The sequence below is a fragment of the Homo sapiens genome, chromosome 14, assembly GCF_000001405.40.
Source record: "Homo sapiens chromosome 14, GRCh38.p14 Primary Assembly".
NCBI classification, from domain to species: Eukaryota; Metazoa; Chordata; class Mammalia; order Primates; family Hominidae; genus Homo; species Homo sapiens.
The window spans coordinates 81,734,204-81,755,847 of NC_000014.9; the positions used below are offsets into that span (position 1 = coordinate 81,734,204).

At 37.7% G+C, this 21,644-nt stretch overlaps 2 long non-coding RNA genes across 6 annotated transcripts in view; one reads left to right on the top strand and one right to left on the bottom strand.

Moving 5' to 3' along the window:
* Nucleotides 1-408: 408 nt before the first annotated feature.
* On the bottom strand, nucleotides 409-8,935 carry LINC02311 (long intergenic non-protein coding RNA 2311). The gene is made up of 3 exons (NR_146498.1): nucleotides 8,836-8,935; nucleotides 6,034-6,073; nucleotides 409-651 (listed from the first exon to the last, which is right to left on the bottom strand). It is a non-coding gene; the product is annotated as a long intergenic non-protein coding RNA 2311 (long non-coding RNA).
* LOC107984704 (uncharacterized) overlaps nucleotides 2,994-21,644 on the top strand; it is a 336,950-nt gene continuing 318,299 nt past the window's right edge. For 3 of the 5 annotated variants that reach the window (XR_001750835.1, XR_001750837.1, XR_001750838.1), the window contains exons 1-2: nucleotides 2,994-3,492; nucleotides 17,914-18,039. This is a non-coding gene — a long non-coding RNA (uncharacterized LOC107984704). Of the gene's footprint in view, nucleotides 3,493-9,029; nucleotides 9,650-17,913; nucleotides 18,040-21,644 lie in introns of those variants that run through there. The other 2 variants (XR_007064292.1, XR_001750836.3) reach the window with 1 other exon arrangement.

Here is a 21,644-nt window from a genome sequence, read left to right on the forward strand (position 1 = left end):
GAAGTCAGGTAGCGTGATGTTTTGTTCTTTTTGCTTAGGATTGTCTTTGGTATACAGGCTCTTTTTTGGTTCCATATGAAATTTAAAGTGGTTTTTTCTAATTCTATCAAGAAAGTCAATGGTAGCTTTATGGGAATAGCATTGAATCTATAAATTACTTTGGACAGTATGGCCATTTTCACGATATTGATTCTTCCTATCCATGAGCATGGAATGTTTTTCCATTTGTTTGTATCCTCTCTTATTTCCTTGAGCGGTAGTTTGGTCACTGGCACCTACGTTAAACTGAGAGCTGCTGTCTTTGGTCCTGATGGCAGTTTTTACAGAGATGCTCATGAGGGGTGTGGAGAAAGATGGGAGAGCCTGAACATTTTCTAAGATTTAGAAAAAATTCTCCTCTCTCATTCATTTAACTAGTAAGCCTTACCTTTATTCTGCTAAGCCTATGAACATAACTTGGGAGATTTTTCTGATATTCTTGTCTTTTTAATACTGACCATATTCTTAGATGAGTGGTTCAAAATGCTTTCTCCCTTAGTTTTGCATTTTCCACATTGATTTCTCAATAGTCTTTGTATATGTATCATGTTAGGGAGTTTCATATTACATTATTCCTTCGTGTTCTTTTCTCCACAGACATCAGTTCAGCCTCTGTGAATTTAAAAATAAATCAAGGTGTAATTAACCTATTTATGGAAATGAAAAATTCTCTATCACATCTCCTTTCCTCCCCTACAACAAGGTATCTGCTCCTCCTGTTTGTTCTCAATAACAAACAAAATTCCTTGGGCCGATGATATTATTTGTCAGCCAGCATGGAAGAATACTGTGAGTCATTGTATTTCCTGCTATCTGTTTCTATCCTTTTTAAATATATGAAGCTTTTGCTCATCTCTTCATTTCCTTAATATTTCCCTCATTGTAGGTCAGTAAGCTTCACACCAGCCACTATCTTTCTCGCCAGTTTACTCACTCCTCCTTTAACTTTCTTTAGACAAATCACAGATTTATTTTTGTTTCCCATTCTTTTCCAGTTATCTTAGAAATATTTTTCTCCCTGTCTTTGTTCCACTTGTGAGAAAAAGGGGGCTAATCCAGACTATTCTATATAGAGTATTGCTGGCAATATCTCTATAGTAAAGAGAGTGAAACCTGGAAGCTTTGATGTGGAATTAGGGAGAATAAAGAACCAGTGCCTTGAACTTCTAAACCCAATGAAAATACACAGTAAATGCATTCAGGGTCTTTGAAAGTCAACGTTTGCTTCCTTATCTTTCTCTAATTAAATCTACTCTCACAGAACAGAATCTTGATTTTTGTTTTGTGTTTCTCTTTGCTGTTTCAAGGATATTGTTTGCTACAATTGTTCTAACACAATTGTACAATATTTCAGTTCCCATTGAGGTTAAAAATGCTTTTGCTAAGTGGACCCTTACAGATGATGCATAACGTTTCATTTTGTCTTTGAGGTCAAAGCAATCAGCATATGACTTTTTGAAAACATTTATTTCCATCAAGGGACTACTGTGTACTAATTTCTTATGCTTGATGAATTTTATTAAATATTTTATTGCCAATCGTTTATTTTCAAAACTGAATGCCTCCACTTCCTTTGCATCAAACAAATAACCACCTTAATAGGTAGGTTACTAACACTCCAGTTTTTAATGTCTATTCATTTATTCATATGGCAATTCTTTACAACAGTTAATCATAGAATGCTTAGTACATACCAGGCATCATGCTAAGTCCTGAGACAGAGATATTTAAGAAATCCAAATTTCAGGTGCTCACACTCCAGTGGAGGATGTCAGATGAGTAAAAAGAATTATAAGATAGTGACAATTATAAGATAGTGACAATTATAAGATAGTGACTAAATGATAACAGAGATATAAAGTGCCCTAGGAACACAGAAGAGGGTACTAACTTATGCACTGAGGTCCAGACCTGGAAACTTTACTCTCAGAAGGGTTTTACTTGTATGTTAGGCGGTGGAAAGAAACTAACAATTGTAATGTAACCTTGAAGAATTAACCTCATTGGACTAATAGCTGAGCAGTGATTTCTAGGCCTGATTGTCATACATCTGGTGTAGTAGTATGGGCTTTGGAATTAGACACTACTTACTAAGTAGTGGCCCCTCTAAGATTCAGTTTTCTTATCTACAAAATTGGAATGATGACACCTGCCTCATTTAGCTTGAATGAGATAATGATGTTTCTATCTTTTCTTTAAGCCCCTCCTGATGGAATTTAGAAATAACAAGAGTAGTGGAAAAATTGAACTCTGATAATCACACTTGGTAAACTCAAGCCCCAGGTTAAGCAATTTACATACCTAATTCTTTAGATCATCATCACAACCTTATTAGGTACATATTATTATTTCTATTATCTTCAGTTAACAAGAATGAAAATCAGGTTTACAAAAGTTCAATGATTTGCCCAAAGACGTGGTTAGTAAAAGATATTGCAGGAGCTTGAATTTACACCTGCATGGCACTGAAGTCCAGGTTCTTACCCACTCTTTTGCTCTTGTTCCCTGTCTTGGTTTATTTTGATTGATGAATATGGCCACACTTGTCTCACATGTTTTGTTCCCAGACAGAAGATTATGGTAGACATTGGATTATACTTTCCATGGGGACATGCACTATGTGTGTTTTGCTAAGCAGAATTGTCATCATATTGCACAGAATCTAGTACCAAGATGGCACACCTATTTGTAAAGGTGCAGGCTATGCTGATGTAACAAAGGGACTCTAAAACACAGATATTTATTTTCCTCTCACATAATAGTTTATGGCTGATGGGTAGGCTTGACTTTGCCATTTTCAGTAAGTAGGCAAGAGTGAGAAGTCCAGGTCAAGGATTTTCTTCAAGGTAAGTGATGCTGAAATTGCCCCCACTCTTTCCACTCAGTTGCCATTAGTGCATACTTAGATCACACACCTGTAAGATCAACTGGAAAATGTAGGTTCTAGTTGGACAGCTACCTGCTCAGGAAGGAAGTGCGATGGTTCATTTTAGGTGTCAACTTGACTGAATTCAGGAATACCTAGCAACTTAGTAAAGCATGATTTTGGGGTGTGTTTGTGGGGGTGTTATCAGAGGAGATTAGATATGAGTCTGAAGGATTAGATGGAGAAGATCTGCCCTCAATGTTGGCATGAACCATCCAATCTACTGGGGGCTGGGAGAAAACAAAAATAGAGAAAAAGTGAGTCTGTTAATTTTGCTGCTGGGGCTGGGATAACTTCTTCCTCTCCTATTCTAGGACAATAACTCCGGGCTCCCCAGCCTTTGGACTCCAGTGCTTAACAAGAAGGCCCCTTCAGGATTCTCAGACCTTTGGTTTTGGACTGAGAAATACACCATTGGCTTTCCTGGTTCTGAGGCTTTTGGTCTTGGACTGAGCCACGCCGTCAGCATCCCAGGGTTTGCAGCTTGCAGATCGCCTGTCATGGGACTTCTCAGCCTCCGTAATCACGTGAGCCAATTCCCCTAATAAATCCCCTCTCATATATTTATATTTATCTGTATATATCCTATTGGTTCTCTCTCTCTGGAGACCCCTGAGTAATACAGGAGGTGAGAATAGATTTGGGGATACTACCAGCAATTTCCATTACAGTGCTCAATGAATATTTATGGAATGAATGAATGAAGACAATCAAAGCATGTAAGTCAACCTGGGCCCCAATGAGATCAAGGCAAAGATGTTAGTTTGATCCGCTAGCTTAGAAATCTATGCCAGCATGCCAATGTGTCTTTCCAGCTAATTCTTGCCAAAACACATCTTTAGTCAGAGCTACCTATTGTAAATATCTCTTCACTATAGTGTTTTCCTTTAATCTATGACTGTCAACTTTTCTCCTGAATGTCAGAATGGGATCGAAGCCACAGAAGAGTTTATGTGAGCTCCATGGATTATGCTGCCCTCTTAAGGAAGATAAAGTGACAGGTTATACAGTACTTATCTATATCACCTGTCAGAGACTCTGTATCTGGGGGCAGAGAGAAGATCAGGAGTTTTAGCTGGTTATTTGTGATTCTCTTTCACAACTACCTGTGAAACTACCTTGTGTATCTCTGACATTGGCAAAATATAGTTTTAGTTCTCCTAAAGAAAGTGCTGGAAGTTTATTCCCTATGAACTTCTAGACTCTATCAGATCAATATTCTGAGTGGGAAGTCTATCCTAGCAACTTCTTTTCTGCAATGTGACAATATCTTGTTAGAATTTTTTTTTTTTAACAGCCAGTGTAGGAGCCTGTATAGTGTGATGTCCAACTGGTGGCAGATAATTTGTCCCACATAGAGTGTGACCACTCTTCTTTGTTTTCCAAGTATGTGGCAGAGTTTTTAAAATTTCACTGAGTCAGTAGTCAGAATTACAATAGACTTTGTGAATGTAGAAGAGGCAAAGCCACAGATCTGGGGGGGCTTGTAAGCGAGGCGGTATTCTTCAAAACTTACCAAGGTGGAACCTTTCTCACTTGTAAGGCTGAAAAAATAAAGAATAACTACGGAAACCTTATATCTCTTTAAGCTCTTTCATTCCTAAGAGCTTAAAGTGACACTCTAGACCTACATCTCATTTATTTTCACAACATCCCTGTGGAGTCAGAGGCTAGTTGTTCTTCACTGTTCATGCTGTTCAGAGGGAAGCAATGCCCTGAGAACTCAAATGACTTGCATTCAAGGTCAAAAAGTGAGAAGTTGTAAAGCCAACACTTGAATTCAGGTGTTCTGACTCTTCCCCTAGTAGCTGCTTTAAGATGAATCCATTTGGGAAAGAAATTTAGCTGGGAGAACTAAAAATGTATCATAAATAAACATGATGTCATGATACATGAAGGTTCAGATCTGGAAATGTTTCTTAGTCTGCAGATTAAAAAATGCTTTTGATGAGTCGACAACATTCAGTGCTGTGAACTGTTCTTACTCCATCAAGCCATAGGTACAGAGATCATCATTCTGTATTTAGTTTGGAATGATGCCCCAGAATCAGAGTTGCTAAGTAGCACTAATGATTTCACAGATTTCAGGAAGAATAGGGGACATTGACCATGACACATAACGATTCTTATTACATGGTTGCAGAATAGAATACTTGTTATTACCAATTAAAAAGTGGGGTGAACAAAATCTAAATTCATGGACATGTAGGGTTGGAGCAGAGTCTCCTTAGCCCTAATGGTAGCTTTATGTGAATCAGAAAATGTGCTTTTCTTCCAGGTGGACACAACCTTAAGCCAGGGTACACAGGTTAGTGAGCAAAGCTTTGGCTGGATTCAGCTTTGTTTATTCATCTCCTCACATGGATGGTCTTTGTGGCCATCTAAGATAGAAAAACACCCTTCAAAGTCGCCTAACTCACTTTCTCACATTCAGGTAATATAATATCATGTCTACCTCGCAATATAAATTAGTTCACTTTTTAAAAACTCTTGGCAAAAATATTTTCACAACTGCATCATATTGCTTCTCATAATACTTTGAACTCCTTGATGTTAGCATGTGTTGAGGAGGAGGAGAAATAGATGCAACTATAAAATAAAAAATGGTTTGAATATTTTAACTAGCTTTTTACCAGAAAAAAAAAAAAGGACTTAAAAGATACTTGAGGTGACCTTGCCTAAGTTGTCTGAAAATTCCTTCTCTTAAATAAAAAAATATGGGTATGGTTCATCTTTATATGAAGGAAGATATCATGAGTGTCCAATATTGAGAGGAAGCTGACATTTACATGTAATTTCTTAGGAAGTCAACCTTAGGCAGGACACAACTTTCAGCATTGGAAGGCCAGAGAGAGGGAAAACTTACGTTGTAGTAGGTCCATCTGATACATGCATCCTTGTAAGTAAAGGGATAATTTGTCCTACTTTTCTGAAAATCTAAAATTACCAGCTTTCACTTGGGACCTGAGTTAGTATGATCAATCATAAAACAGATGGGACAAAAAGGAGATTAAAAGAAATAAACTACATTAAAAGTAGACACAGCCAATCTCTTTGATCCCACTTACCTCAAATTAAAGCACTGTATGATGGACAGTGACTTCCTCTCTGAAAAGACAGCAACAATCAGTTTTATATAGATTATGAATTTGCAGCATATTTAAGAAGCTTCACAAGAGGTGCGTTTATAATGTGCTCCCCGTTGAAAGTGAAGAACAGCAGAGGGAAGTGCTGGGATATAGATATGTAACCTGGACAAACTTCAGACAGCCCAATAAAAGAAGAGGGCCTAAATTTTCCATGAATCAGGATTTTAGATAAATGTAGGCCTGAAGATCAAGAACGACTAGCGCCTCCAAAATATAAGTAGTTGTGATAAACAAAACAAAACAGAACAAAAAAACCCTAGTTCCTACAAAAGTTGCTCTCTTTTTTAGACTCTATTATTCTTGTAAGAATATTATTATAAACATGTGGTCATGCAAATGTTTGATGGGTGTATCATAATTCACAGCTTAAGAAAAGGAGGTGGGCAGAAATTAATTGATTTGTTCAAATGGCATTAGCAAACAAAATTTCCAATTTCTGATTTCCATATGTTTCCATAAACTTGACAATTTCTAGAGTTTGCCAAATAAATCCATGAAATACCAATAGGTACTATTTGTTAAGTGGATACAATATACTAAGGTTTGTGTCCCCTCCAAATTAATATGTTAAAACCTCATCATGAATGTGTTGGAACTAATAGGTGGAGCATTTGGGAGGCAATTAGGTCATTAAGGAGGAGTGCTGGTGAATGGAATTAGTGCCCTTATAAAAGAGATTCCAGAGACCTAACTAGTTCCTTTCACCATGTGAGGACACAGCAAGAAGGCACCGTTCATGAACCAGAAAATAAGTCTCACCAGACATCTTAATCTGCTGGTACTTTGACCTTGAACTTCCCAGCCTCCACGACTGTGAGATTTTTCTGTTGTTTATAAGCCACTCAGTTTATGGTATATTGTCATAGCATACTGAACATTCTAAGACATTATGTGAATAATTATTATGTGTATTAATTACTATGCTAAATTCTTTACATAGTATGATGGACTGAATTATGTCCCCAGTAAAATATATATGTTGAAACCCTAGCCTCCAATGTGACTGTTTTTGGAGATAGGGACTTTAGGCAGGTAACTAAGATTGAATGAAGGGCTGGGTGCAGTGGCTCATGCCTGTAATCCCATGCACTTTGGGAGGCTGAAGAGGGTGGATCATCTGAGGTCAGGAGTTCAAGACCAGCCTGGCCAACATGGTGCAACCTCTACTAAAAATACAAAAATTAGCCGGCTGTGGTGGTGAGTGCCTGTAATCCCAACTACTAGGGAGGCTGAGGCAGGAGAATTGCTTGAACCTGGGAGACAGAGGTAGCAGTGAGCTGTGATGTGCCACTGCACTCCACCCTGGGCGACAGAGCAAGACTTTGTCTCCAAAAAAAAAAAAAAAAAAAAAGATTGAATGAGGTCATAGGGGTAGGGCCCTAATCTGATAAGGCTGGTGTCATAGTAAGAGAAAAAGAGACTCCAGAGATCTCTCTCTGTCTGTCCTTGCATGAGCACAGAAGAAGAGCCACATAAGGACACTGCAAGACAGAGGTCCTCTGTAAGCCAGTACAAGAGGCCCCACTAGAAACCAACCCTGATGACACCTTGGTCTTAGACTTCTGCCTTCCAGAACTGTGAGAGTGTATATTTTTGTTGTTTAAATCACCCAGTCTCTGGTGTTTTGTTATGGCAGTCCCAGTAGACAAATATATAATTAGCTCAATTTAGCTTCTTAATGGAAATGTGGTATTATTTTAGAAATTCAATATAGTGACTAGCAGTAAGGCTGTAGATCCCAGTTGCCTGACCTCCAATCCCAGCCCTACCACTTTCTACACATGTGGTCTGGGAAAGTTCTCAATCTCTCTATTCACATGATTTTTTCATCTGCAAAATGAAAGTAATAAGAAGTATCTTTCTTATTGGGTGTGGAGAGGGTTAAATGCATTAATGTTTAGTATGATAGTGACAGGCATAGAGAAAACACTCAATATGAATAAGCTATTTTTATTAGCCCCATTTTCAGATGGAGAAACTGAGGCCTAGGGAGATTAAAGATCAAGATCAAGATTATTCAGCTACTAAGCTATTAATCTGGGAAGTACCATTATTAGAGCCAGATTCCTTATTTTTAGAAACCAAGGCCTTCATCTTTATACTGTGTTGACCTTCAGGCAAAGCAGAATCAAATGAGATATGCAGTTAAATTTTTTTCTAAATAGACTAACAATCTAAACATTTTGCAATTTGCCTGCTTGCATTGCAGAGCCAGAGCTCTAGTGGGGCATTTTGAACCACTTTACCTTGCTAAAATCACCAGGGCTTTGAATGTCAGGCAGGAAGAAATCTATTATTTCTCCCCAACATAATCCCAACTTGCTTTCTCTTGTTTCAGCAGTTCTAGGAAATGTCCAAAATATAGGCTAAGCGCTCTGGTAAGTGCTTAAAGTATATGAGGAAATTTAGCTATAGAAAATGCTACATAAAAACCATGCAGTGGGCACTGAGAATTCCGAGGTAACCTCAGTCTACTAAGTTTATTTTACTTCATTCCATTGGGCAGTGAGACCTAGATGGGTTTGTAAGACATTGAGAGATGTTGGTCTTTTGGCAGCTTATTTGTCTCTATGGTAAGTACTGCATACTGGGAACAATTAGGAAATTCCTCCCATCTTTGTCTCAGGTAAACCATTATCTCTGCCCACTTGGTTGGATTTCTGTTGGCTCTGGCCTTGGTTCTCTGGTTGCTTATGGTATGATTTGTAAGACATGACTCACCTTCTGGAAAGCTAGAGGCCACATCACTGTCAACTATTGAATATACTCTTGACCTGAGACCATGATGCATGTTAAATGCTCTTTGGTGTGGCCAGAGGGAGAGGAATTTAATTGCTTTGGCTTATGATGGGCCATCTTCTCTTTGCTCTTGATGTTTTGCCAGAGGCGCTCAGTTGATCTTCCATGATCTCGTCTCTGTACACAGTTGGTCCTCCAACTCCTACTTCTCTTCATAGTATATCTTTGTGTTTCCATCATTTAGCACATAATAATTATTTGCTGTACTTCGAGGTCATTGAAGGTAGGAAGTATATATATATATTGCTATATATATTCATATATATGTACACACACATATATTAGTCTAGATGCTATGGGCTATGCTGGGCATTGGAGATAGTTTCAAGGCACTCAAAATGTATTTCCTGAATGAATGCACCAGTGAAGGGATTAATGGGTTCTACTCAGTTGCTGTTGAATAAAGAGGACCTAGCAATATACATTTCCATGTTATAGGATATTGGAAGATAAAGGATTGAATAGATATTTATATATGTGCACTTCTTTGAAACATGGCCAGAAGTCAATATCTTCTCAGGCCAAATGGCAATACTTAAGAACTGGATAACTTTCAAATTTGTAGGTGCTGGAAGATACTAAGTATGTTGGCTTAGTGGAAATTCTCCAGCTTCTTCAATTGTCAGAACTAAATGCTATTCTGAGAAGGAGCTCTGATGTCCCCATGGTAACAGGGCCCCATTAAAGGCATGACATCACAAAGCTGTCCTTGTTTGAAGACACTTGGGAATTTCAGGTATAAACGGAAATACTGTTAAAGGCAAATTATACATACATATTCTGTGTAATTATGTGCACATGTATAGATATGTCTAATTTAGCCACATCTCTCATTTAGTTTTGTTTATCATTAGGCTTTTTAGTGACTTAAATCTCAGATGTGGATATAGCTCCAGGTGCTTAAATAAAAGCTCATTTAAATTTTGGAGTAAATATCAATTCCTTTGCTTATTTACTTATTATTACTCTTAACACAGTGAAGAGAATGTTGATTCTTAACATAACCTCTGAAATGGACACATATACTGTCTGTATGCAAAATCACCCAGCACCTTTGCTGGCCATTCATAGCCTGGGCCAGTACTAGCAGCATGCCCGAAGGAGGGTATTTTAGAGTTAAGAATTGTCCAGACAACTTGGGCAAGGTCACTCAAATACCTTTTTTTTTTTTTTTTTTTTTTTTGAGATAGGGTCTCACTCTGTCATCCAGGCTGGAGTGCAGTGGCATGATCTCGGCTCAGTGCAATCTCTGCCTCCCGAGCTCAAGCGATTCTCATGCCTCAGCCTCCCGAGTAGCTGGGAATACAGGCGTGCACCACCATGCCCGGCTAATTTTTATATTTTTAGTAGAGCTGGGGTTTCACCATGTTGGCCAGGCTGGCCTCAAACTCCTGACCTCAGGAGGCCCGCCTCGGCCTCCCAAAGTGCTGGGATTACAGGCATGTACCTCAAGTATCGTTTAAGTCTTTTTTTTTTCTGATAAAAGCTAGTCAAAATATTTAAAAAATTATTTTGTAGCTGCATCTACTTTGCAGTGTCAGAAAAAGAACAGTTTTTTTTTTTTAAAAGAAAGAAAACATAAGGTCCATGGATTTGGGAAGGGTCTTGATTCCCTCACCAATAGCATTATCCCTTTGCCTAGTTATGGATTCCCTTCCTATCAGAGACAATGCTTTTAATGGTTCCATTTTTATGTTATACAGTGCAGCCAGGAAAGATGTTAGGCAGACTGGATTAGCTCTGAAAATGCAGAAAAATATGACAAGGTGAAAGCCTAGCCATGAAGCTGGTTAGCTCATAAATGATAAAAACTTGACAGAACTTGTAAGAAGAAAATGTGAACAATTTGCATAAGTGTGTTGTAGGAACAAGTGTGTCTAAGTGTTTATGCTGGCTAAAGAGATGCTCTGAGCTGGAGTATTTGCCAAGGTGACTCTTCTCTCTATGGTGCTTTTTTAAAGGTTCTTGCTGTAGTTCCCCCCACCGGCCCCACTCTCATCCTCCCACTGGCCCAGCAAATTCTTCGGAATTGTTAAAGATATGAAGCTGAATGTTTTTGGCTTTGCTTATGACATTGAGCCACACTAAATTTTTCTGAATGAAAGTCTAATGCTGTTTTTCTAAATAATATCTATGTATTGTTCCTTCATTGACATTCATATAAGGAAAAATGTTTTACATTTTCTATATTTCAAATGACTCCAGAGAAGTGGGCTCCGCGAGGATTTTCCTGAGGGCTAGCGTGAACAAAATACCTGAGGATCAAAAATCACTTTCTCTATATCTCTCAAATCCCATGCAATTATAAGTAAATTTCTGTTTCTTCCCAGTGGAAAAAAGTTCAAATAGGAAGCTAAAGCTGGGAGGAAACTTAGAAAACATGTTGTTCAATGCCCTCATTTTCTAAAATGAAGAAATGAAGCCAGAAGAAGAAACTAAGCCATGATATGAATTTGTGGCAGAACCAGAGCAGGAAAATAGGAATCCCAGCTACAAATTTATTGCTAGCATGAGGGAATATCTATATCTATATATGTATACATGTAATATATGCATATGTATGCATACAATATATGATACATATATCCCCGCATGTTCAGAATGAACTAACTGTACATATATATGTGAGTTCACGTATATGTGAATATAGCTTAAATTCTAATTTAATCTAACCTCCCTTACTACTCAAAATGTGATCTGGGGACCAGCAGTATTGCTGCCACCAGGAGCTTGTTAGAAATGCAGAATCTCAGGCTGTACCCCAGACCTACTAAATCAGAACCTGCATCCTAATAGGATCCCCAGGAGATCCACATGTATTAAATTTAAAAAGCACTGTTCTAACAATTCCTGATTTTTATGTTAATAAAGTATAGTTATTGAGAGTCCCCCAAATAATCCAAACTTTCATTTTATGTGTTGATTTTGCATCTATCTTTTCTCTCCTTCACTAAATTTTACAGGCACTTTAAACTACTACAAAATGAAATGATATTGAAATTTGTCACTTCCATTCCATCCTTGCCTTTTAGTAGAAAGGGTTATCTTCAGTTCAGATTTTGCCTCCTCCTATTTAAATAATTGTTAATAGTATTGCATGTTTGTTCTTCTCTCAAAAGTGTGCTAAGTACATTGTACCCATTATCTCATTTAATCCATGCAACAATTAATGAGGTAATAATGATCACAGTCTCCATTTTACATAAGAGAAGACTGAGGTTGGAAGAGATCAGCTGACAGCTACAATGTGTCAGAGCCTGGACTCGAACCTTGATTTAACTTAGTCCAGAGTATGAACAATAACTACAATATTTATTGCTTCTGTAGTCCAAAATTCTAATTTTTTAATTTTTTCCAACATTTATGCCTCTAAAAAATTTAGTTATCTTACCAAGTAAAAATTAGACATCAAATTTAGCACAGTTCTGAGTGCCTAGTGGCTACTTGAGCAATATTTGTCAGATAAATGTGTGAATAAATGAAAGACCCAAGTCTCTCTGAGAAGAAAGCACATGGTCTCTTCATAACACCAGGAGAAAGAAGAGATGTCCATCAGAACAGACGTTTCCCATTTGGGGGTTGTGTTCACTTGTTGTCTCTAATCCTTCCACCCCCTTTCTGCTTTTCCTTACCTCTGACCTATATGTTACTGCAATACCCTGTAGTTCTACTAAATTTTCAGGTTTTACTCTCCTATTGTAGAAAGTAGCCTGCCTGGGGGACTAAGGCCAAATCTAGTGACATCCTTCCTTGGAATCCCTGAACTACTATTTTAGGGATTCTCAGAAAACCCTCTGAAGTCTGAATCCTCTTTCATCTCCTGGGAATTTTACAGCTAGAGCATCAGGCTTTAAGGCTTTGAGACCTTTGCACTCTAGTGTCAGTAAAAAGATCAAGAACCAATCTCCGGGGAGGGAATAAAAACATAGGGACCCTGAATGCATAGGGCCTGAGAGGGATGGGGGATGAGGAGAAACCAGGGCTGAACCATTTCAGAGTCATTCCATGAGGACTGATGATAAGTGCAGGGCTGGCTTTGACAGGGTAGAAGGTGGCAGGAGTCAGGGCAGTGCCGGGAAAGCCCTGAGTACCCAACTCTATAGCTGCCACTTTCCAAGGATGTGGTACAGGAAGACAAGGATCACACCTCTCTGAGCATTACTTCTTAATCTAAAAAGCAATGGGCTAGGGTGTTTTCAGTTCCTTTTGTTTGGGAAGGTGTTTGTTTGTTTGTTTTTGGTAAAGGAGCAAGACGCATTCTGGAGACAACTTCCCTGGGGCCAAGTTAGCTGTGTACAGCTCGATTTGGTCTGTGGTCTCTCCTCTGGCCTGGCCTTTTACCCTCATCAGTGGTTCTCTTGATTCTGGCGAACAGTCTCAGCACCCTATGATGCCCATTGCACCAGCTGATTTTCAGATGTTGAAAGGCACTGCAGTATGTATGTTTCCACCTCCTGGGGAAACAAGAGAACAGGTACACCTAGCCTAAAGGGATGTTTCAAGATTTGCTAAAGGACTTTTTTTTTAAACTTCTGAGCTGACAATGGTGATCTGAATGTCAACCATTATTTTACTATTTTATTTTGTAAATGATTAATATATTAAAGAGTCCTTGCCACATATGCACTCATTGATTCCGTGTGTGTGTGTGTGTGTGTGTATGTGTTTGATTTGATTTAGTTTCCAGAGTGGAAAAAAACCTGTTTGCTTACAAATTTATAGTCCTTCAGCAAGGAATATATGAGAAATTGATTTAGGTATCCTCATTCATTCAACCCAGATATGTGGAGCATCAGCCATGTGTAGATATTATGCAGGAGTTAGAGATAAAGATAAACAAAAAATACAGCCTCTGGTTTTAAGGAACTCCTACTACAGTGGAGAAGAGATAGATATGCAAACAGGTAATTGTAATACAAAGTCAGAAATCATATAGAGGAGATGGCAATAGAGTGTTGTGGGAACACGCAGGAGGGTGGAGCAGGCTCTGGGAAATTAGCTGAAGTTTCATGGAGGACATGCTATCTGCAGATGGTGAAGCTGCAAAAGTGGAATTGTACATTATTTCTCTAACCTTGAGATGACCTTTGATTGCATAAGGGCTTAGTAATGAATCTTTCTCCTTCTCTGTGCTCTCTCTGTTCAGCAAACAATTACAATTAGCTGAAATGAATCAAAGTAAATTGTGTAGGGTTAAAAGTAAATGCTACCCTTTGTCAACATAGGTTGGCTCCTGGAAGCTGCAGAGAGCACTCCATTTTATAGTTTTTGTGATTAAAGTTTTCTCCAGCAGTCCCTTTACTGGAAATAGGTAAACAAAGCAAGTGGGCTAGCATGCAACATCACAGATCCTAGTATTTCATTCTTCCCTGCTTCTGGCGGACTTAGCAAGATGTCATCTGCCCAGCGCACAAGGAAAATAAAATTGCTTGTATGAGGCCCTGGTTACAGTGAAGAAGAGAGGAAGAAGGAGGAATTCAATCTTTGGCTTAGAAAAATCTAATTCTCTCAAGGTATATTGAAGTTTGCAAGGCAGTTATCTTTCTGAGCAGCTAGATGCTACCTGGAAATGTAGCTTCTAATAGCCTTGGTGAGATTAAGTGAAGTTTCTGCAACTGTGGTCATCGCACACAGGTCACAAAGGTTTTGATGCCTTTCTCCCATTCCCCGCAACCCGAGTCAGCTGTACTTGTGGTCTCTTCCAGGCTCCTCTACCCCATGAGTTCCACCTCTTCCCCGCTTCCCCCAATCCACTGACACTCTCCATAGCAGGAAGGAGAAATAAATGGCTAGACAGCTTTGAAGCATCAGTTTAATAGAAATTGATGGAAGTGATTCAAGAGGGCCACCATTCTATTATTCTTGCTGCAAGAAAGGTTATCAGGGCTTGACAGAGCCATACTCTCTTTCTGAAGTATTTTGTGACTGAGGAGTCATGATGTTTACTGGACTTGCAAGGGAATTGGGACAGAAGGGAATTGTAAAGGAAATTGAACTGTAATTGATATAAGGTCAGTCACAAGATGGTGGGAGGGAATAGAGCTATGGGATGGTTTTTGGATGGAGTGGGAAATTACTGCTCCAAAGTTGGCATGAAGACCCTTTGTTGTAAAAAGTGTAATTTGAGAAGTCAATTTGTGGGTCTAGTTTCATGATAGAGAATGTAGTCTTTCAAACTGAAATATATATTGGTAAATATGCAAACAGACTTGGTGGCACTATCTTATGTCTAATATTCTTTGCATGTAAGTTAATCTCTGAAGAAATTTAGGCTTCCTAGACAAAAGGCACTTTAGCAGCCACCGCCTGGAATTCTGTATAATTGTATTTGGATTTTGATTTAAATTTAGTGTTTCTTCTTTTGTTTTTACTTATTTCCTTCCTTTCGTCCTCTCTTCCTCACTTCCTCCCTCTTTCTCTCCTACGTCTATGTTTCTTTCTTATTTACTTATAACTTCAGTTGCCCTTTCCAACCATACAGAAGGGATAATGTTTTATAAGTATACCCCCAAAGTCCTTGCCTATACCACAATTCAGGCTGAGAAGTGACCTTCCTGAAAAATGAGATACCCGCAGACTCACAAGTAGCATAGCTTTTCTTTTTTGATCATTTGCAAAACAGGCATAAACTTATTATTACCTAATGATTCTTGTAATTCTCAATGAAAGAAACCAAGTTAAACTGCATAAGAAAGACAAAGGGAGAACTATTGGCTTACAAAAATGGGAAGTTCAAAGATAGCTCTGAGGTTCCCTCTGCTAGAGGGAAGGTCTCCAAGTATACTGTTGGGGCTGTCTCTGCCATCGTCTCTAGACTCTGTTTCTGTTTGTGTTCTTCATGATGATAGGCTGATGGCAGCGTTAAGCTCATATCCCACAGTAAAGAGTCAAAAAGAAGGGTTCTTTTTCTGAGTTTTAGGTAGTATTCTTTTGGAAGGAAACTGACATGCTCTGACTGGCTAATGTGCCCACGGTGGCTTAGGGAGTGGAGGACAGTGATAGGTCAGGTCTTTATTCCACTCTTACAGCCAGTGAACAGGTGGGCATTGTGATGAACAGTCTTGCTGGAATCAAATGGAATAGGAAAGAGACAGTGCCCAAAAGGAAAGAGCAGACTAAAAAGACAAATATAGCAGATGTCTACTATTTTACTCTCCTGGTAGTCTCTCTTTTACATGGCTTTCACTCTGGGGAAGGATGACATTCTCTTGGTAGGAATATGCTTTGGTTCTTCTCTTTAGAAATCCAAAGTCTTATATAGACTCTGACCTCAACTTACCTTTTTGCCTTTATTTTCTTTTATTCCTAGAGTCATATCTAGGCTCCAGCCAAACATGATCAGTCATTATTCTCTGAATATTTCCTTTTCCATGGCTTTGTTTTGAGGACTCTAGGTTGTCAGACTAGGGTGCTTTCACAAATTAAAGAATAGAATTTTTAAAAACTTCTATTTTTTTATTTCTGAAATTGTACCAAGGGTTAGAATTTTTTTCAAGATGCAATAACCCTGACTGGCATTTGAATAATGTCATTTTTTTCTGGTTCTTTTGTTGCTCTTCCAGCAAATTAAAGACTGTTGTGTTATATACCGCATTGTCCTAATTTGTTATATGTCTCTCTAATTAATTTTTTTCATATTTCTTTTTAGAAATATTTTTATATCTTTTTTCTTTCATTGTAAGTATTCTGAACAATAGCAAAATACATAAAAGACGTAAATTATTGTGTTGTCAGAGGAGACTGAAATAGAGATAGTGCCCATGAATGTCTAAGAACAAAATCAGGCCCTAGATAAGAAAATCCCCCCCAAATCTTCTGTAGCATTTTGGCTAATAGTGCCTGTTTTTCATTTTTGAGTGTGGATTGCCACTGTGACAGATGCAACAAAAGAGGTAGGAAATTCAATAAATATATTGCAAAATTAGGATCTGGGGGAACTCCTTGGAAAGTTTGCTTTTTTTGAGTTTTTCAAGCAATGTGAAAATGGGAATATCTTCATTTCCTGTATTGTATTCTTAGATCTTTAATAACCACAATAGTATGGGGGCAGGGAAAACATTTTGCAGTTTTAGCTTATTAACTAGTACCTTCTTTGGTTTCTAATACCCTCTTTCTCTTATTTCCCACGCTGCAGTCTTTAGTCCTTCAAGATTCAATTTGTGCTTGGCAGTCTTAGTGAAGCTATCTCTGATAGCCTGGGCTGAAAATACTGTTTCTGTCTGTCATCCTCTAAAACAGTTGTTCACAAACTGTGGTCACTGTGTCAGCAGCATCAGTAACACCTGGGTACTTGTTAGAGCTGCAAATTCTTGGGCCTTGCTCCAGACCTACTGAATCAGAAACTCTGGCGGTGGGGCTTGGCAATCTGTGGTTTAACAAGTCCTCCAGGTGATTCTGATGCACACTAAAATCCAAGTACCCCAACTCTAAAAGTTAGCATTCTGCCTCATATTTACATGGGGAAAGTATTATATTTGCCATAGTAGATAACATGCTACTGGGAGGAGCTTTATGTCCTATTGCTTTTTTAGGCCCGTGTAAAATGTAGAGGACATTGCAAACTGAAAGTTTGTAGACGAGCGGGCATAATAGGTTGTAGGGCTTACATAAGAAAGAGATAAGGGATCAGGATCCTAATCCAGTTTCTCAATTTTCCAAATTGCCTTCTTCTTTGACTGAATGGACTGGATAATTATTAAATTCCTATTAAACTTTATGGCCAAATCCCTATTTTGCTTTATGTGGTGTCTGCCTGAACACAGAATAGATGTGCTCTCACACTGTAGGCACTAGATATACATTCGTTGATGATAATCTGCTCCATTTTTGTATTCTAGCAATTGCAGTACTATTGTTTAGAGCTTTTGTGGAGTCTGCTGGTCAAGTTTAAGTAAAGGGCAAATCTCCTTTAATTTAAATATATAGAACAGTCTATTAAACATTTTTGTTCTTCAGAAGACACTGTTCCGTTCCATCAAAATAGACTTTCACTCATTACAGGTGTTGCCGTAAGTCTACTGAGCTCTCTGGGTGTCTAACCTTGCCTTCTTGTCATCAGCTATTAAAACTACTAAAACAGAAGAATGCTTAACCACTACAGCTGTTAAAACATTAGTACGTGCTTTGGTAAGTGCAAATTTAAATACTTTGAATGGCCCCTTTAGGGGATCTTCCTTCTCTTTTTTAACTTACAATTCCATCAAAATTCAGCCATAATGTTACCTTTTTCACTCCCTGAATGTACTCATATTTCTCCACTATTCCCAGAAAAGGTTCAGTTAGCCATTGGTCTAAGGAATAGTGTTTAAGCTGTTAGTTTCTTATTTAAAATTCATCAGCCAAAACTTCAGTGACTTATTGGCATTGCCTTCTGTCTTTGACTCCAAGCTTTTATTACCCTAAAATTTCAAATGATGCTTATAGAATGGGTCAGGATAAGACTAGCAAAAAGGGAATCAAAGGGGATTGTTTTTCATCTTACCTGTCTTATAGAACTATAGTGCAATATCTAGCTCACAACCTATTTCTGATTCTTGAATTCTACATTTATCCCTGTTTCTCTCTTCTTATTTTAAATTCACATTCTGTCTTATACAAATGTTGGCTTCTTGTACATTGTCTACTAAATTTTATAGGATTTTCTTCTAAACTCTCTGGTTTGCTAATTCTTCTATATTTTCTCAATTAATTTGGGCTTAAAGGAATATATCAAATGTTACCAAATTTTATAACTCAGTTTCTTACCTTTCTATACAGCTCTAGATCACTATTTTAACTATAATCCACTTGGTTAACTAAGAACTTGCTACTGAAAATGTGGTCTGTGTAGCGGTATCACTGACATCATCCCAGAAATGTTGTTAGAAACGTTGACCCCTGAGCCCACCGAAGACTTAACTGAATCAGAACCTGAATTTTAAAATTTGAAAAAAACAGTTCTAATGGGCACCTTCCAATTAATGAAGCCTAGACAGAATTTTTGACTTTGTTCTCCATCCAGTTCCCCACCGGGTGTCCTCCCTTCCTTTTCCCCATCTCCCGCTGTCCCAGCCCCATTTCTTTCTTTCCTTCACTCCTCTCATACAATCTATTGAAAAGTCTTATGATATCTACCTGCAACGTACATTGCAAATGCATCCATTTGTATCATTCTTCATGATAACCACTTTCTATCACTGTATGGTATTCACTATATATGGTCACTCATCATGAATTAAAGTTATATTTCTACAATTGTCTTTCGTCTTCAGTGCCTCCCTTCCTCTCGTCCCAACTAAAACGTAAAATCCTTCAGAGCAGGATCTTGTCTGCCTTGTTCACCTCTGTATCTCTAGTAAATAGAATGATAAATGGTGTGGAGAAAATGGCCAAAAAACATTAATTGAATTACTAAATGAATTGTGAGGGTTTTCACTTTCTCAAACAACATCAATCACAAGTTAGATGCTCCATGATAGTACAGATAGTTGAATTGGGACTCAACAGTGGCTTCTCTCTGGGTCTCATATTCTGATATGGAGAAATGATTCCACATTGAAAAGGGCATTTCCATTATGAGAAAACAAACAAGTAAATTAATAATCAATACAGAGGATAAAAAGATTTGGGTCATATCCATATTTAGTAATGCACCAACTGTGTGACTTGAGATGTTATTTAAGTTTGGGTTTCAGTTTCCTCATCTATAAAAGGAAGACATTGCACTACATGCAGGCTGTTTACCATGTGTCATCCTGACCAAAGGTATTCTATGGTAAATGTTTTACCTACCCATCTCCCCCATTTTTCAAAACTTTTCTGACATACGTCAATGAGTAGGTCATTTGTGCTCATGTGTTATTGCTATCAGGGGTCATGTTAGCAGCTTTGAATCAATTATAATTTTTAATTGAAGCTGAATGTATTTAATTATATAATTTTGAGCTGTCCAGTTTTAATTCCACCAAAATTACCTCAAGAAACTGGGACACTATGAAAGATGACTGACAAAGAGAAAAAATAGCATGACTAAAGCTTTTATATGCACGAACTCATATGTTATGTCCTATTTTTGTTATGTGTGCTAGGGGTGAGATTATTTATTAATCTTATCAACAAAATAAGCTTAGTGTAGCCCACGTACACAAAGATTACTGATCATCTAGCCTACAGTTTAAAAAACAATAAATTTTGAAGCCTTTAGACTGAAGATTCTCTAGGATCTCTCTTTTGAAACACATAAACATGTACATACATAAACATACAAATTGCTTTCAACGGTTTATGGAATATCTTATAGCAAATTAAAGATGAGTATGTTTGTCATTCAATTATGAAAGATGTTGATATAAATAAATTTATTCATATATTTCAAAAAGTATGTAGGGCTTCCAGCCAAGGTAAAGAAACAGAGACCACATTTACTGTCTTCCCTATAATAGAAAAAACCCAGAAAATTTATGAAATGACTGTTTTTTTAGACATTGGACAACAAAGAACAGTGACCTCTGAGACATAGGATACAAGATGAGCCCTAAAAGTGCCCAAGATTACTACCTGTTGAAAGCTTCAGGCTGTAGCTCAGGGAAGGGGAGACTGACTAAGCACAATATCCTCCCAGAGTTGAGATGGAGCTGGGAGTCTGGGGAGACTAAGGCAGCTGGAACAATGGAAAGGGGAGAGCTGCAGAGAAAGGAGCTTTGGAGATCCAAAAAAGACCCTATCGAGTCTTCATCTGAATATTGAGCAGTGTATGTATGAGGAAACTAGTCAAGACTGGGAAAATAACCATCCAAAACGATTAGCAGGAAGCATGCTGAGAACTGACACAGGACCAGAAATAGTTCCTGCCCCATTAGCCAAAGCAGAAAACTTCATAATTCATGGTACATTGGACAGAATACTCAGAAGAGTTTTGCTTCAATGGTGGGTTAAAATCAGACCTAGCCCTACATGCTGCAATGTTACTGCATAACAAAGCTTAAAAGTGGGCCAGAAAGTTGATTCTCTGTAACCTAACTTTGTCCCAGAACAAAGCTCAAGAATATGTACAGGAATACCAAAGTCTCCAGGACTCATTGAAATAAAATTCACAATGTCTGGCATTCAATAGAAAATAATTAAGCATGTGAAGAAGTAAGGATATACAATCCATAACCCAAAATGTCACAGAAGACTGAATTAGTAGATAAGAATATTAAAACATATATTTATTTTTTCAAAATAAATTTTATTGTGTATATTTGAGGCTTAAAACATGACGTTATAGGATACATATAGATAGTAAAATCTTATTAAAGTGAAGCTGACTGATACATCTATCATCTCACATAATTCCTTTCTTCTTGTGACAAGTGCAGCTAAATTCTACTTACTTAACAGAAATCCCTAATGCAATATAATTTTATTAACGTTAGTCCTCATGTTGTACACTTGATCTCTAAACTTGTTCATCCTACATATCTGCCATTTTGTATCCTTTAGCATACAGTATTTCATATTTTCAAGGACTTAGAGGTAAGATTGTAGATGTTAAGTAGGAATATAGAAGATATAAAAAGATCCAAATTAAACTTCTGGTCATGCAAACTATAATGTCTGAGATAAAAAAAAAAAAAAAAAGAAAACTGCCCTGGATGTGACTAACATCAGATTAGGCATTGTAGAAGAAAACATAAGTAAATTTAAAGATTTAGCAATAAACACTATCCAAAATGAAATACATAAAAGGCAAAAAAAATGAAAAATTCAAG